This window comes from Homo sapiens, chromosome 5, assembly GCF_000001405.40.
Source record: "Homo sapiens chromosome 5, GRCh38.p14 Primary Assembly".
In the NCBI taxonomy this organism is placed as follows: Eukaryota; Metazoa; Chordata; class Mammalia; order Primates; family Hominidae; genus Homo; species Homo sapiens.
In genome coordinates this window covers 19,500,883-19,515,813 of record NC_000005.10, presented here as the reverse complement: position 1 = coordinate 19,515,813, position 14,931 = coordinate 19,500,883, and the positions used below count along the sequence as shown (strand labels likewise).

Below are 14,931 nucleotides of genomic sequence, written 5' to 3'. Positions count from 1 at the left end.
AAGTGAAATTGTCCCTGTTTGCAGATGACATGATTGTATATTTAGAAAACCCCATTGTCTCAGCCCAAAATCTTCTTAAGCTGATAAGAAACTTCAGCCAAGTCTCAGGATACAAAATCAATGTGCAAAAATGACAAGCATTCCTATACACCAGTAACAGACAAACAAAAGGCCAAATCATGAGTGAACTCCCATTCACAATTGCTACAAAGAGAATAAAATACCTAGGAATACAACTTAAAAGGGATGTGAAGGACCTCTTCAAGGAGAACTGCAAACCAACCACTGCTTAATGAAACAAAGAGGATACAAACAAATAGAAGAACATTCCATGCTCATGGATAGGAAGAATCAATATCATGAAAATGGCCATACTGCCCAAGGTAATTTATAGATTCAATGCCATCCCCATCAAGCTACCAATGACTTTCTTCACAGAATTGGAAAAAAACTACTTTAAATTTCATATGGAACCAAAAAAGAACCCACATTGCCAAGACAATCCTAAGCAAAAAGAACAAAGCTGGAGGCATCACGCTACCTGACTTCAAACTATACTACAAGGCTACAGTAACCAAAACAGCATGGTACTGGTACCAAAACAGAGATATAGACCAATGGAACAGAACAGAGCCCTCAGAAATAACACCAAACATCTACAACCAACTGATTTTTGACAAACTTGACAAAACAATAAATGGGGAAATGATTCCCTGTTTAATAAATGGTGCTGGGAAAACTGGCTAGCCATATGTAGAAAGCTGAAACTGGATCCCTTCCTTACACCTTATACAGATATTAATTCGAGATGGATTAAAGACTTAAATGTTAGACCTAAAACCATAAAAACCCTAGAAGAAAACCTAGGCAATTCCATTCAGGACATAGGCATGGGCAAGGACTTCATGACTAAAACACCAAAAGCAATGGCAACAAAAGCCAAAATAGACAAATGAGATCTAATTAAACTAAAAACCTTCAGCACAGCAAAAGAAACTACCATCAGAGTGAACAGGCAACCTACAGAATGGGTGAAAATTTTTGCAATCTACTCATCTGACAAAGGGCTAATATCCAGAATCTACAAATAACTTAAACAAATGTACAAGAAAAAATCAAACAACCCCATCAAAAAGTGGGCAAAGGATAAGAACAAACACTTTTCAAAAGAAGACATTTATGCAGCCAACAGACGCATGAAAAAATGCTCATCATCACTGGTCATCAGAGAAATGCAAATCAAAACAGCAATGAGATACCATCTCACACCAGTTAGAATGGCGATCACTAAAAAGTCAGGAAACAACAGGTGCTGGAGAGGATGTGGAGAAATAGGAACACTTTTACACTGTTGATGGGAATGTAAACTAGTTCAACCATTGTGGAAGACGGTGTGGAGATTCCTCAAGGATCTAGAAATAGAAATACCATTTGACCCAGTGGTCCCATTACTGGGTATATACCCAAAGGATTATACACCATGCTACTATAAAGACACATGCAAATGTATGTTCATTGCAGCACTATTCACAATAGCAAAGACTTGGAACCAACCCAAATGTCCATCAATGATAGACTGGATTAAGAAAATGTGGCACATATACACCATGGAATACTATGCAGCCATAAAAACGATGAGTTCCCGTCCTTTGTAGGGACGTGGATAAAGCTGGAAACCATCATTCTGAGCAAACTATCACAAGGACAGAAAACCAAATACTGCATGTTCTCACTCATAGGTGGGAATTGGACAATGAAAACACTTGGACACAGGGTGGGGAACATCACACGCTGGGGCCTGTCATGGGGTGGGAGAATGGGGGAGGGATAGCATTAAGAGAAATATCTAATGTAAATGACGAATTAATGGGTGCAGCAAGCCAACATGGCACAGGTATACATATGTAACAAACCTGCATGTTGTGCACATGTACCCTAGAACTTAAAGTATAAAAAAAAAATCATATTGCAAATAAAGGAATGCACTTCTAAGTAACTTAATATTCCATGAAGAAGAACAAACTTAAATGAAAAAACAAGTTCCATGAAATGATAATGTAAATAAGTCCATATAAAAATTTCTAGGAAACAGTTCAGCCATAACTAACAGGAAATTTATAATTTTAAATGCATATAATAAAGAAGATAAAATAATGCAAATTAAAAGCCTAAGCATTATTCTTAAGAAGTTAGAAAAATAAATCAATTTAATCCAAATAAAATAGAATAACAATTTATGAGATGAATTTAATGACATGGAAATGAACCAAAAGAAAACATTGAAGAGTTCACAGCTTAGTTATTTGAAAAGACAGATAAGTCCCTGGTAAATTGTTAAAAACAAAAGAGAGAAATAGAACAAATGAAGAATATTAGGAAAAAATCAAGAGGCTTACCGCCTCTTGTAACTATAGACTTTACAGATATCAGAAGCCAATTGTATATTACAATGTCGTCTTTTACTAAAATTTGAAAGTTTAGACATAATGCATATATTTTTAGAAAAGTAAAGTTTGTCAAAGCTGACACAAGAATAGATTTAGCTGGGCTTGGTGGCTCATGCCTATAATCCCAGCTACTTGGGAGTCTTAAGTGGGAGGATCCCTTGAGCCCTGGAGGTCAAGTCTGTAGTGAGCTGTGATCCTGCCACTGCACTCCAGCCTGGGTAACAAAGTGAGACCTTGTCTCAGAAAATAAATAAATATAAATAAATAAATAAGGACTGATTAAAGTTGTATTTATTAAATTCATTAAATATATAAATAAAAACCTTTCCACAAATAAATTCTCTTCTCATGGCTTTAATGGTGAATTCTACTAAAAATTTAAGAAAAATCATGACAGTAATTGTAAAAGGTATTCAAGAGTTCAGAAAAAGGGTGGCAGGATCATTTTTGTACACATTTTATGATGCCAGCATAACTTTAACATCAAAAGGTATAAGTGGAATTATAGCTATTCTCTGCACGATCATAGATATAATAAATGTCATAATTAAAATATTTGTAAACCATATAAAGCAAAAAAGGATAGTATTTTAAAAAGAGACGATGAAAAATAAAAACCTACCTAATCAGGAGAATCCAAAGCATTTGTGAAAATTCAACACCCATTAATAATAGCAACAACCGTGACAATGCTGCTATACGCAGGTAGAATTTTTGAATGACATTAACAAATTTGCTAAATATCAGGTCAATATAAACATGTTATTTAGAGTTCTCATACCACAAACAATTAGAAAATTAAGTTGAAACACTAGACCATTTGCCATTACATTGAAAATAAGACACCTAAGAGTAAATGTTACCCTTGTTAGCACTCAACTACTGTCTCTCTAGAGGGCAACTCTTAAAACTTAGGTCCTTTGCCTCAGTGGATCTTTATTTCCATGATTTTTAGATTACTCAGAGATCTAAAAATTGGTAAATTAAAAATATCATTTGAAATATGATTTAAAGAACCAAGCATGGGCTTATGTTTGCATCAGACATTGTTTTCGGACTAATTATAATTTTAAAAATTCATTTAAATAAGCATATAGATTGTATTTTTAAATTTCAAGATCATTTCAAAGCTTTAAGGTTAAAGTATATTCTCATAATATGGCACAACAATGGTTGCTAGTCCCATGCTACCTATGTAGTCTGCTGCAAATCTAGGCCAATAACACCCAGCCCTTGCTCTTGGCTTAATTGATACTTATTTTCTCTGAAGCAATGGGCTGAGCTGTGTATTGGCCCCTTTTAGCTATGACTTGGATGCAGGGCACCAAGTCCTGCACAAAGCAGCATGGTCCTGGGCTGGCCCACAAAAACAGTTTTTCCTCCTAGGCCTCTAGGTTGGTGATGGGAGGGGCTGCCGAGGACACCTCTGACATACCCTGGAGACATTTTCTCCATTGTCTTGGTGATTAACATTTGGCTCCTCGATACTTACACAACTTGAATTTCTCCTCAGAAAATGGTTTTGTCTTTTTTATTTCATTGTCAGGCTTCAAATTTTCCAAACTTTTATGCTCTGCTTCCCTTTAAAACCTAAGTTCCAAATTCAAACCATCCCTTTGAAATGCATAAAACTGAATGATTTTAAGAGCACCAGGGTGCTCTTTGCTATTAAAAATTTCTTCCACTAGATACCCTAAATCATCTCTCTCAAGTTCAAAGTTTCACAGATCCCTAGAGCAGGGGCAAAATGCCACCAGTCTCTTTGCTAAAGCATAGCAAGAGTCACTTTTATTCTGGTTTGCAACAGGTTCCTCATCTCCGTCCTCAGCCTGGACTTCATTTTAGATATCACTATCTGCATTTTCGTCAAAGCCATTCAACGAGTCTCTAGAAAGTTCCAAACCTTCCCACGTCTTCCTGTCTTCTAAGCCCTCCAAACTGTTCCAACCTCTGCCTCTTACCCAGTTCCAAAGTCAATTTCACATTTTTTGGTATCTTTGTATCAGTGTCCCACTCTCCGTGGTACCAATTTACTGTATTAGTCTGTTTTCATACTATTAAGAACTGCTTGAGACATGGTAATGTATAAAGGAAAGAGGTTTAATTGACTCACAGTTCAGCATGGCTAGGGAAGCCTCAGGAAACTTACAATCACGGGGGAAAGCCAAGGGGAAGCAAGGCACCTTCTTCAGAAGCCTGCATGAAAGAGAAGTGCTGAGAGATGGGGGATGAGCTGCTTATAAAACCATCAGATCGGCTGGGTGCATTGGCTCATGCCTGTAATCCCAGTACTTTGGGAGGCTAAGGCAGGCAGATCATCTGAGGTCAGGAGTTCAAGACCAGCCTGCCCAACATGGCAAAACCCCATCTCTTTCAAAATACAAAAAATTAGCTAGGCATGGTGGCAGGTGCTTGTAATCCCAGCTACTCGGGAGGCTGAGGCAGGAGAATCGCTTGAACCCAGGAGGCGTAAGTTGTAGTGAGCTGAAATTGCACCACTGCACTCCAGCCTAGGCAACAAGAGCAAAACTTGGTCTCAGAAAAAAAAAAAAAATCAGATCTCCTGAGAACTCACTAACAGGAGAACAGCATAGGGGAAAGCCACCCTCATGATCCAATTACCTCCACCTGGTCTCTCCAGGTAGGGGTTATGTGGGATTATAATGTGGGGATTATGGGGATTATAATTCAATATGATTTTAGTGGGGACACAAAACCTAACCATATCAAAAAGGTAATTACTACACTTAGCATTTGACATTACTACCCTTCTAATATTTTGATTAAGTTTTGTAAGTTGATTATGTGGTTACTCCTTTTTGCACTTTAAAACACTATACATTTAGCTACCATTGTTGCCTTTAACATTGAATAGTTTTAGATGTGATTATAAGATAATTGAACTTATTATGCTGTTGCTTGTGTATTTGTTTTCACCTCTTCCACCAAAATAACTTTAAGCTTTAATTGATGGGAGAAAAGATTGTTTGTAAGTGTAGCTTGTGGCATCCACATTTAGACAAATCATTACCAGTGTATGTGCTCTGCTTGTGAGATTAACCCATTACAGAGTGAAATGGCCCGAATCTGTATTCTTTAGTTTCATAGTGTTTGACTCTTTTAACCATATCTTGAAAACACTTTTGAAGAAATCCGATGCATCCTGATGCAGAGTTGGAATAAGAAACTCTATTTAAACAACAATTGGCGAAATCAGTTTTCTGAAGTGTATTTGTATTGCCAGGCTGTGTGACTGTTCCTCTTTCAATGACAATTGCTTTTCAAATTACGGATATTTCTATTATGAATGCTGCACATCTAAACGTATCAGCATGTAGCTATGTCAAAGAGATTGGCTTTTTATGAAAGTTTAAGCCCCGTATAACAGCAGAGTTCAGGTAAATAGAGATACTAATGTAAACTGCAACAATATAGTTCTCTAAGTTAATATATTTTCCTGTTCTGAAAAAAAAAATCTTTTAGTATGTTGCCTGAGAAAAATATTAAAAAGAAAGGCATGCATGCATGAAATTTGAAGACAGTTCCCAAAGTAGAATGATTTAAGAAAAATTTAGATATGCCTAAAGTGGAAACATTGAAAAAATAAAGAGAGTCTATTCTATTTTATGCATATTAAACTTCCTCTGTATTCTTTCTTTCATTAGAAATAAATGTACAAAAATAACACATAAAAGAAATTTTATTACATAACATTCTCTGCTTCCACCACATACAATTATTAACCATATAGCTTTGCATGAAAAAATTAACTAGGTCAATAGAGATTCTTTACTGTCAAAAATCAAGCTCATTTAAATAACAAAAGTTGATGTTATCAAATAAATGTATGCAGATACTATTAACGATTATATTATGAAGCAGATGCATTGACTAAACAGGACACTATGTATTTTAGAAAAAATTATTTTAGATCGAGAGGTTACATGGGCATTTTTTTACATGGGTATGTTGTATACTGGTGGGGATTGGGCCTGTAGTGTATGCATTACTCAAATAGTGAACATTGTGCCCAACAGGTTATTTTTCAACCCTTGCCCCTTCCCACTCTCTGCCCTTTTGGAGTCCCTGTTGTCTATTATTTTCATCTTTATGTTCCTTTGTCCCCATTGTTTAGCTTCCATTTATAAGTGAGAACGCGTGGTATTTGGTTTTCTATTTCTGAGTTAAGAACATTCTTGGCCAGGCGCAGTGATTCACACCTGTAATCCCAGTATTTTGGGAGGCCAAGGAGGGCAGATCACTTGAGGCCAGGGGTTCTAGACCAGCCTGGCCAACATAGCAAAAACCCATTTCTACCAAAAATACAAAAATTAGGCATGGTGGCTTACACCTGTAATCCCAACTACTCGGTGGCTGAGACACGAGAATCACTTGAACCCAGGAGGTGAAGGTTACAGTGAGCTGAGATTGAGAGATCGTGCCTCTGGCACTCCAGCCTTGGTTACAGAGTGAGTCTCTGCCACAAAAAAAAAAAAAAAAAGAAAAGAAAGAAAGAACTTCCTTTTTAAAATGCTTAAGCCAAGCAAGTTCATTTGCCAAAACTAACATTATGGTATTAGATTAGACAAATTTTATATATTTGTGATACTGACTTTTCCCTAATAAAGTACTCTAATTAACAGTAACAGTAACAGTAACTCTAATTAACAGTAACAGTCTGTCTCAATTAACAGACAATTGAAAGTATATTTTTAAAAGTGGATACATCTATTTGTAGATATCAAAAATACTCCCTGGTAATTATTTATAAATAGCAACTGTCTATTTTTTTTCACCCTTTGCTTTTGTAATGTAGACTAAATTTGTAATATCATTTATTTGATATCTTTAAAAATAAATAACCATTCTATGTATTAATTAGATCATGTATATGTGATAAATAACATTTGGGTTCAATTAGAAGACACATGAATCAAAAAAGATATTCTTAGGGATTTTATATTACTAAAGCAATTGGACAAAGAAATAGCAAGGTAACACAGTGGATATAAATCAGAATTCTGACAAAGGGATAGAAAATTTGATGATGGAAACCTGGCAATTATCTAGATATCTGCCAGAAGTTTATAACTTCTAAAAACCATAAACATGTTAAGTTCCCAGGTATATTTTCTAAAGAAAGTCTAAGGTAACAATGAATGCAAATTCTATTACATGATGAAAGAGACAAGGTGATTTGTAAAACAGAAATATTGAATATGCCAATACAGAGCAGAGACCAAGCAAATATTACAGCATTTTGGACAAAGTCAGACTGACATTCTCGTTTTTGGAAGCTTTTTTTTTTTTCAGAAATACGATTAATAAAAATTGAAGCTTACATACATTATCAACAACTCTGTAAGAGTTCAAGATGATTGGGACATTGTTAAACAAGACATGATAATCAAATCCTCATTTTTTATGTAGAGACTAGGAGTTTCTCTCTTCTTTTTTTTAAATTATACTTTAAGTTCTAGGGTACATGTGCACAACGTGCAGGTTGGTTACATATGTATACATGTGCCATGTTGGTGGGCTGCACCTATTAACTCGTCATTTAACATTAGATATATCTCCTAATGTTATCCCTCGCCCCTCCTCCCAACCCACAACAGGCCCCAGTGTGTGAAGTTCCCCTTCCTGTGTCCATGTGTTCTCATTGTTCAATTCCAACCTATGAGTGAGAACATGTGGTGTTTGGTTTTTTGTCCTTGCGATAGTTTGCTCAGAATGACGGTTTCCAGCTTCATCCATGTCCCTACAAAGGACATGAACTCATCATTTTTTATGGCTGCATAGTATTTCATGGTGTATACATGCCACATTTTCTTAATCCAGTCTATCATTGTTGGACATTTGGGTTGGTTCCAAGTCTTTGCTATTGTGAATAGTGCCGCAATAAACATACGTGTGCATGTGTCTTTATAGCAGCATGATTTATAATCCTTTGGGTATATACCCAGTAATGGGATGGCTGGGTCAAATGGCATTTCTAGTTCTGGATCCCTGAGGAATTGCCACACTGACTTCCACAAGGGTTGAACTAGTTTACATTCCCATCAACAGTGTAAAAGTGTTCCTATTTCTCCACATCCTCTCCAGCACCTGTTGTTTCCTGACTTTTTAATGATCACCATTCTAACTGGGGTGAGATGGTATCTCATTGTGGTTTTGATTTGCATTTCTCTGATGGCCAATGATGATAAGCATTTTTTCATGTGTCTTTTGGCTGCATAAATGTCTTCTTTTGAGAAGTGTCTGTTCATATCCTTTGCCCACTTTTTGATGGGGTTGTTTGCTTTTTTCTTGTAAATTTGTTTGAGTTCATTGTAGATTCTGGATATTAGCCCTTTGACAGATGAGGAGATTGCAAAAATTTTCTCCCATTCTGTAGGTTGCCTGTTCACTCTGATGGTAGTTTCTTTCACTGTGCAGAAGCTCTTTAGTTTAATTAGATCCCATTTGTCAATTTTGGCTTTTGTTGCCATTGCTTTTGGTGTTTTAGACAGGAAGTCCTTGCCCATGCCTATGTCCTGAATGGTAATGCCTAGGTTTTCTTCTAGGGTTTTTATGGTTTTAGGTCAAACATTTAAGTCTTTAATCCATCTTGAATTAATTTTTGTATAAGGTGTAAGGAAGGGATCCAGTTTCAGCTTTCTACATATAGCTAGCCAGTTTCCCAGCAGCATTTATTAAACAGGGATTCCTTTCCCCATTTCTTGTTTTTGCCAGGCTTGTTAAAGATCAGATGTAGATATGCAGCATTATTTCTGAGGGCTCTGTTCTGTTCTATTGGTCTATATCTCTGTTTTGGTACCAGTACCATGCTGTTTTGGTTACTGTAGCCTTGTAGTATAGTTTGAAGTCAGGTAGCATGATGCCTCCAGCTTTGTTCTTTTGGCTTAGGATTGACTTGGAAACGTGGACTCTTTTTTGGTTCCATATGAACTTTAAAGTAGTTTTTTCCAATTCTGTGAAGAAAGTCATTGGTAGCTTGATGGGGATGGCATTGAATCTATAAATTACCTTGGGCAGTATGGCCATTTTCACAATATTGATTCTTCCTACCCATGAGCATGGAATGTTCTTCCATTTGTTTGTATCCTATTTTATTTCATTGAGCAGTGGTTTGTAGTTCTCCTTTAAGACGTCTTTCATGTCCCTTGTAAGTTGGATTCCTAGGTATTTTATTCTCTTTGAAGCAATTGTGAATGGGAGTTCACTCATGATTTGGCTCTCTGTTATGTGTGTATAAGAATACTTGTGATTTTTCCACATTGATTTGAAATGGATAAATTCCTTGACACATACACCCTCCCAAGACTAAACCAGGAAGAAGTTGAATCTCTGAATAGACCAATAACAGGCTCTGGAATTGAGGCAATAATTAATAGCCTACAAACCAAAAAAAGTCCAGGACTAGATGGATTCACAGCCAAATTCTACCAGAGGTACAAAGAGGAGCTGGTACCATTCCTTCTGAAACTATTCCAATCAATAGAAAAATAGGGAATCCTCCCTAACTCATTTTATGAGGCCAGCATCATCCTGATACCAAAGCCTGGCAGAGACACAACAAAAAAAGAGAATTTTAGACCAATATCCCTGATGAACATCGATACAAAAATCCTCAATAAAATACTGGCAAACCGAATCCAGCAGCACATCAAAAAGCTTATCCACCATGATCAAGTGAGCTTCATCCCTGGGATGCAAGGCTGGTTCAACATATGCAAATCAATAAAGCTAATCCAGCATATAAACAGAACCAACAACAAAAACCACATGATTATATCAATAGATGCTGAAAAGGACTTTTACAAAATTCAACAATGCTTCATGCTAAAAACTCTCAATAAATTAGGTATTGATGGGATGTATCTCAAAATAATAAGAGCTATCTATGACAAACCCACAGCCAATCTCATACTGAATGGGCAAAAACTGGAAGCATTCCCTTTGAAAACTGGCACAAGACAGGGATGCCCTTTCTCACCACTCCTATTCAACATAGTGTTGGAAGTTCTGGCCAGGGCAATCAGGCAGGAGAAGGAAATAAAGGGTATTCAATTAGGAAAAGAGGAAGTCAAATTGTCCCTGTTTTCAGATGACATAATTGTATATCTAGAAAACCCCATCGTCTCAGCCCAAAATCTCCTTAAGCTGATAGGCAACTTCAGCAAAGTCTCAGGATACAAAATCAATGTGCAAAAATCACAAGGAGTTTCTCTCTTAAAAAAACACGATTGTCATATGTGAGCTTTCTGTTTAATTCGCATTTGAAATTATCTGTAAAAAAGTGAAAAAGATGCCTTACAAACACAATAGAATAGGAATTATATCAGAGTTTAACAGGTATAATAAGCTCATATTTGTAAAAATATTAAGAAATAATTAAAATAATTTGTATACTAACTGAAATGTATAGTAAAGAAAATAATAATCCCACAGCAGTGATAACAGAAACCATAAACTGGCTCAGTTAACTCAAATGAAATATTCTTCACCAATCACTCCGAAATTCGATTCTTGGATAAAAAGTAAACTTGCAAATGTATCACTATGTTATGAGGTATGATGGAGAAAATAGGGTCACACACTGGAGAATCACTAAAATTCAAGAGCAAGGTGAGAGAACATTTGTTTTATAAAGAAGGGGAAAAAAGAGGTAACATTATATATTTGTATGTGTTGGAGGAAGTGAGGGACTATGCAATGCCTGCTTAAATATTTATTTAACCCTTAAAAAACTTAAAATATTGACATTTTATTTCAATTTTGTATTAAGTAACTAATGTCTAGCTAATGTATATATGTTCCTCAGATGAGGCAGCACTGGAATTTTTACAATATATCTGATTATCCATCAATGTATTCCCCTACTCTAAGTGAAAACAAGGGGAAAAACAATCTACCCAGAGACTAGTTGTATTCAAATAAAAAAAAAAGATTTTCAGCTTATAAATAAATATGGAGGGAAATCAAGAAGGATAGAGACTTATTTGGAGATGGAGGCAGGGGTAAGGAGCACATAGGATCTTGCTAAACATGTATCTTTTGAGCAGTGATGGAAAGGCGGTGAAAGAGTGAGCCCAGTAAACATAATGAGGAAGTTGATCTCTTCTGTATCCTGAAGTACTTTCTTCACTGTCACTTCATGAAAACACATGCTTTTCTGGTGTTACTGTCACTCACCCCCACTTCTCAGTACTTTTATTTTCCTCCTCATCTTTCTGACAAACTAATGGGCTCAGAACACGCAGAGAAATTTAAGTTTTAACTGTGATATCCTTTGGTGAATTACCTTCTTTGGAAAATATTGAACTGGTTGAAATTAGTTATAATGTTCTAAGAAATGATATTAGTTCAATGTATTTCAGAAACAGGAAATATTATTTTCACAGCTCTATCTTCTCTCTCTTTGTTTCTCGTTTTTCTAAGGAAAGGGTTGAATGAAGACACCTAAGCATTATGATAATTTTCAAAAGAGGAAAATATCTTTTTGTCTGTTTATTTTGATATTTATTTTTTAAGAGCAGACTGGCCATACCTATTGAAATGCACGTTCTTCTCTTGGGCCACCATAAATTCTAACTTACTCTGCTTTTTAGTGTACATTAAGTCCAGATTCTAAAGAATTGCTTTCTCCTGAGCACTAGAGAGGAGAAGTTATTCATAAATCACGGAAGGTCTTGTTTAGCCTCTGCCATTATTTTAGACATTTGGGGCACCTCACCATCCTTCCAGGATTCAGGCTCCTCGTCTGTAACATACAGGGACTAGATCATGATCTTGAAGGCCTCCTGAAAAAAATAATAAAACCAAGACTCCACTGTTCTTGCATTTACTACTTAGACCAACATACAGTGATAAGCTATTCTGAATCAACACTGGGATATTTATATTTATGCAAACAATACTTTATGTCTCCTCCAACAGGTATTCATGTGAAAACATTGCATCTAATTGACCCCACAGTACCATGGCTGATTAAGAAAAAAAAAATCAATGCGTTTGCAATGCTAGAAAATAAAGTGTGATGAATGTTTAGAAATTATATACTGTGTTTTTCCTAAAATCTAATGCAGGATACAGCAATTTAGTTGATTGTTTTATGACCTGAATTTGAAAAATAACTCAAGTTGGAAGAAAAGATCCTTTAAAAATATTTTTAAACAGAAATAATACAGTGTAATTAAAATCAAGAGAACAAGCAAAATTAAATTTACGATTTAGAGTTTGTCTTTTCTTTAGGTTATTCATACCATCAGTGCCACTGATAAAGATGATTTTGCCAATGGACCAAGGTTTAACTTCTTTCTTGATGAACGCCTGCCTGTAAATCCAAACTTCACTCTGAAGGACAATGAAGGTGAACATATATACACATATTTGTTTATCTATGTGGTATCTGCTTTGACCTTATATGTAATAGGCTTTATTCTTATATACACACAAACATCTTGCAAATCAGCATTCAAAGTCAGTTTGATGCTACTGTGTTATGATCTGTGAATAGCTTGTGTTTAAAATTGAGCCATATGTACAAATAACTTTCATTGAATTTATTCAGAAGCATCTCTTTAAACAAGAAATGTACATGTAATATGCTCTTGGGCAAATTTTAAGAGAAATCTTAGCTGACAAACTTGTTTATGAGAGCTGCTGCCACTGCTTGGAGGTAGAAAATATTCAAATTAGGAAAAAATGAAAAATATATCCTAGAGACAGTTACTAAAGGAAATGCAATGCTTGCAATCATCTTGTATGAGCAAGGCTATCAAGATGTGCTTTACAAATTATATTTCCTCTTGTTATTATAAGCATTGTCCAAAATATGGGTAGAAGGATACACAGAAGTATGCAGCATATTTTGGAAATTTTTGAATCATTTTCATTTAGCCTTCTGTATAGTGTGGTTAAAAATAATCCCATAATTTAGTAACTACGGAAGTTTCTTCATTATTTAGATGTCCTCTTTGGTACATTTCTCAAGGTTCCATATAAGTCATTCTTCATACATTAGGGAAACATTAAGCCATATGGTATGTGCAGTTTTCTGATTAGGATCAACTTTTTCTTTGTCCAAACTATATATTTGATTATGTTTATCTGAATATGCTGCTATTTGGAATTTAACACTTGCCTCAGAATCACATGCAGAAAACAGTGGCACATACATTTTGAAGTAAACATTGAATTCCCTTTCTCTTCACTTCCGGGAGAAGATTTTCAAATGCAAGTCACTAAATGACAACCTGCCAAAAGCATTTTTCCCATTTTCCCTGAACATCTTTAAATATAACAAAGTATCAAAATGCGCACAAAGCCAAAAGATCTATATGAACATTTAAAGCTTAATTGTCTCTCACATTTTAAGTGGCCCTATGTCAGCTCTGCTTATGGGAATCAATATTTGTGCATGTTTGTGTATGACAAATTGCATTTAACTGACTATTGTACATTTACTTACATTAGAACAGGCTGTCTTATAATTCAAATATACTTAGTATGATTAACTATGTGAAACTTGTGAAAAAATCATATTTTTCCATATTTCAAAGAATTGTAAAATTTGGCAGAGGTTATTTAACTTGCTTCCTTAGGAGATTGGAATCATATGTTGATCCATGTACTTATGTTTCAGTTGCATTTTTTTCTATTCCAATAAAAATTTATATTTTAAAATAATTTAAATTTGATAACATTACAATGAAAATTTGACTTCGATTTGAAGATGTGTTCAATTCAAGCAGTTTAACCTACATAGGTATAACTCTGAATGTATTTTAGAAAAAACAGAATAATTTTGCTATTATTGAATCCCACATTCTTTTTTTTTTTTTTTTCTTTTTTAAGAGGGAGGTTTGCTCTCGTACCATGCCTGGCTAGTTTTTTGTTTGCTTGTTTGTTTGTTTTTTTCAGTAGAGACAGGGTTTCACCATGTTGGCCAGGCTGATCTCGAACTCCTGACCTCAGGTGATCTACCCGCCTCGGCCTCCCAAAGTGCTGGGAATACAGGAATAAGCCTCTGCCCCTGGCCAAATCCCACATTCTTAATGAGAAGTTCTTCATAAAAGATTGTTATAGCTGGAATTTGTGAATTAAATTAAAATTATATATATATAATTGTAATTATATATGTAATTATATATATGTTTATATATGTAATTGTAATTATATATATTTTTATATATATGTAAATGTAATTATATATATTTGTATATATTGAGATAGAGTTTCCCTCTTGTTGCCCAGGCTGAATTGTAATGGCGTGATCTCTGCTCACTGCAACCTCCAGCTCCTGGGTCCAAGCGATTCTCCTTCCTTGGCTTCCCAAGCAGCTGGGATTACAGGCGCCCACCACCACGCCTGGCAATTTTTTTGTATTTTTTAGTAGAGACAGGGTTTCATCATGTTGGCCAGGTTGGTCTCAAACTCCTGACCTCAGGTGATCTGCCTGCCTCAGCCTCCCAAAGCT

The 14,931-nt window shown here is 35.5% G+C and overlaps 1 protein-coding gene across 20 annotated transcripts in view; it reads left to right on the top strand.

Moving 5' to 3' along the window:
• Positions 1 to 14,931, top strand: part of CDH18 (cadherin 18) — a 1,104,418-nt gene that overhangs the window by 1,059,900 nt on the left and 29,587 nt on the right. For all 20 annotated transcript variants that reach the window (XM_005248228.5, NM_001349562.2, NM_001349556.2 and 17 more), the window contains one exon: positions 12,705 to 12,822. In XM_005248228.5, the coding sequence (XP_005248285.1) occupies positions 12,705 to 12,822 (118 nt within the window). The remainder of the gene's footprint in view (positions 1 to 12,704; positions 12,823 to 14,931) is intronic.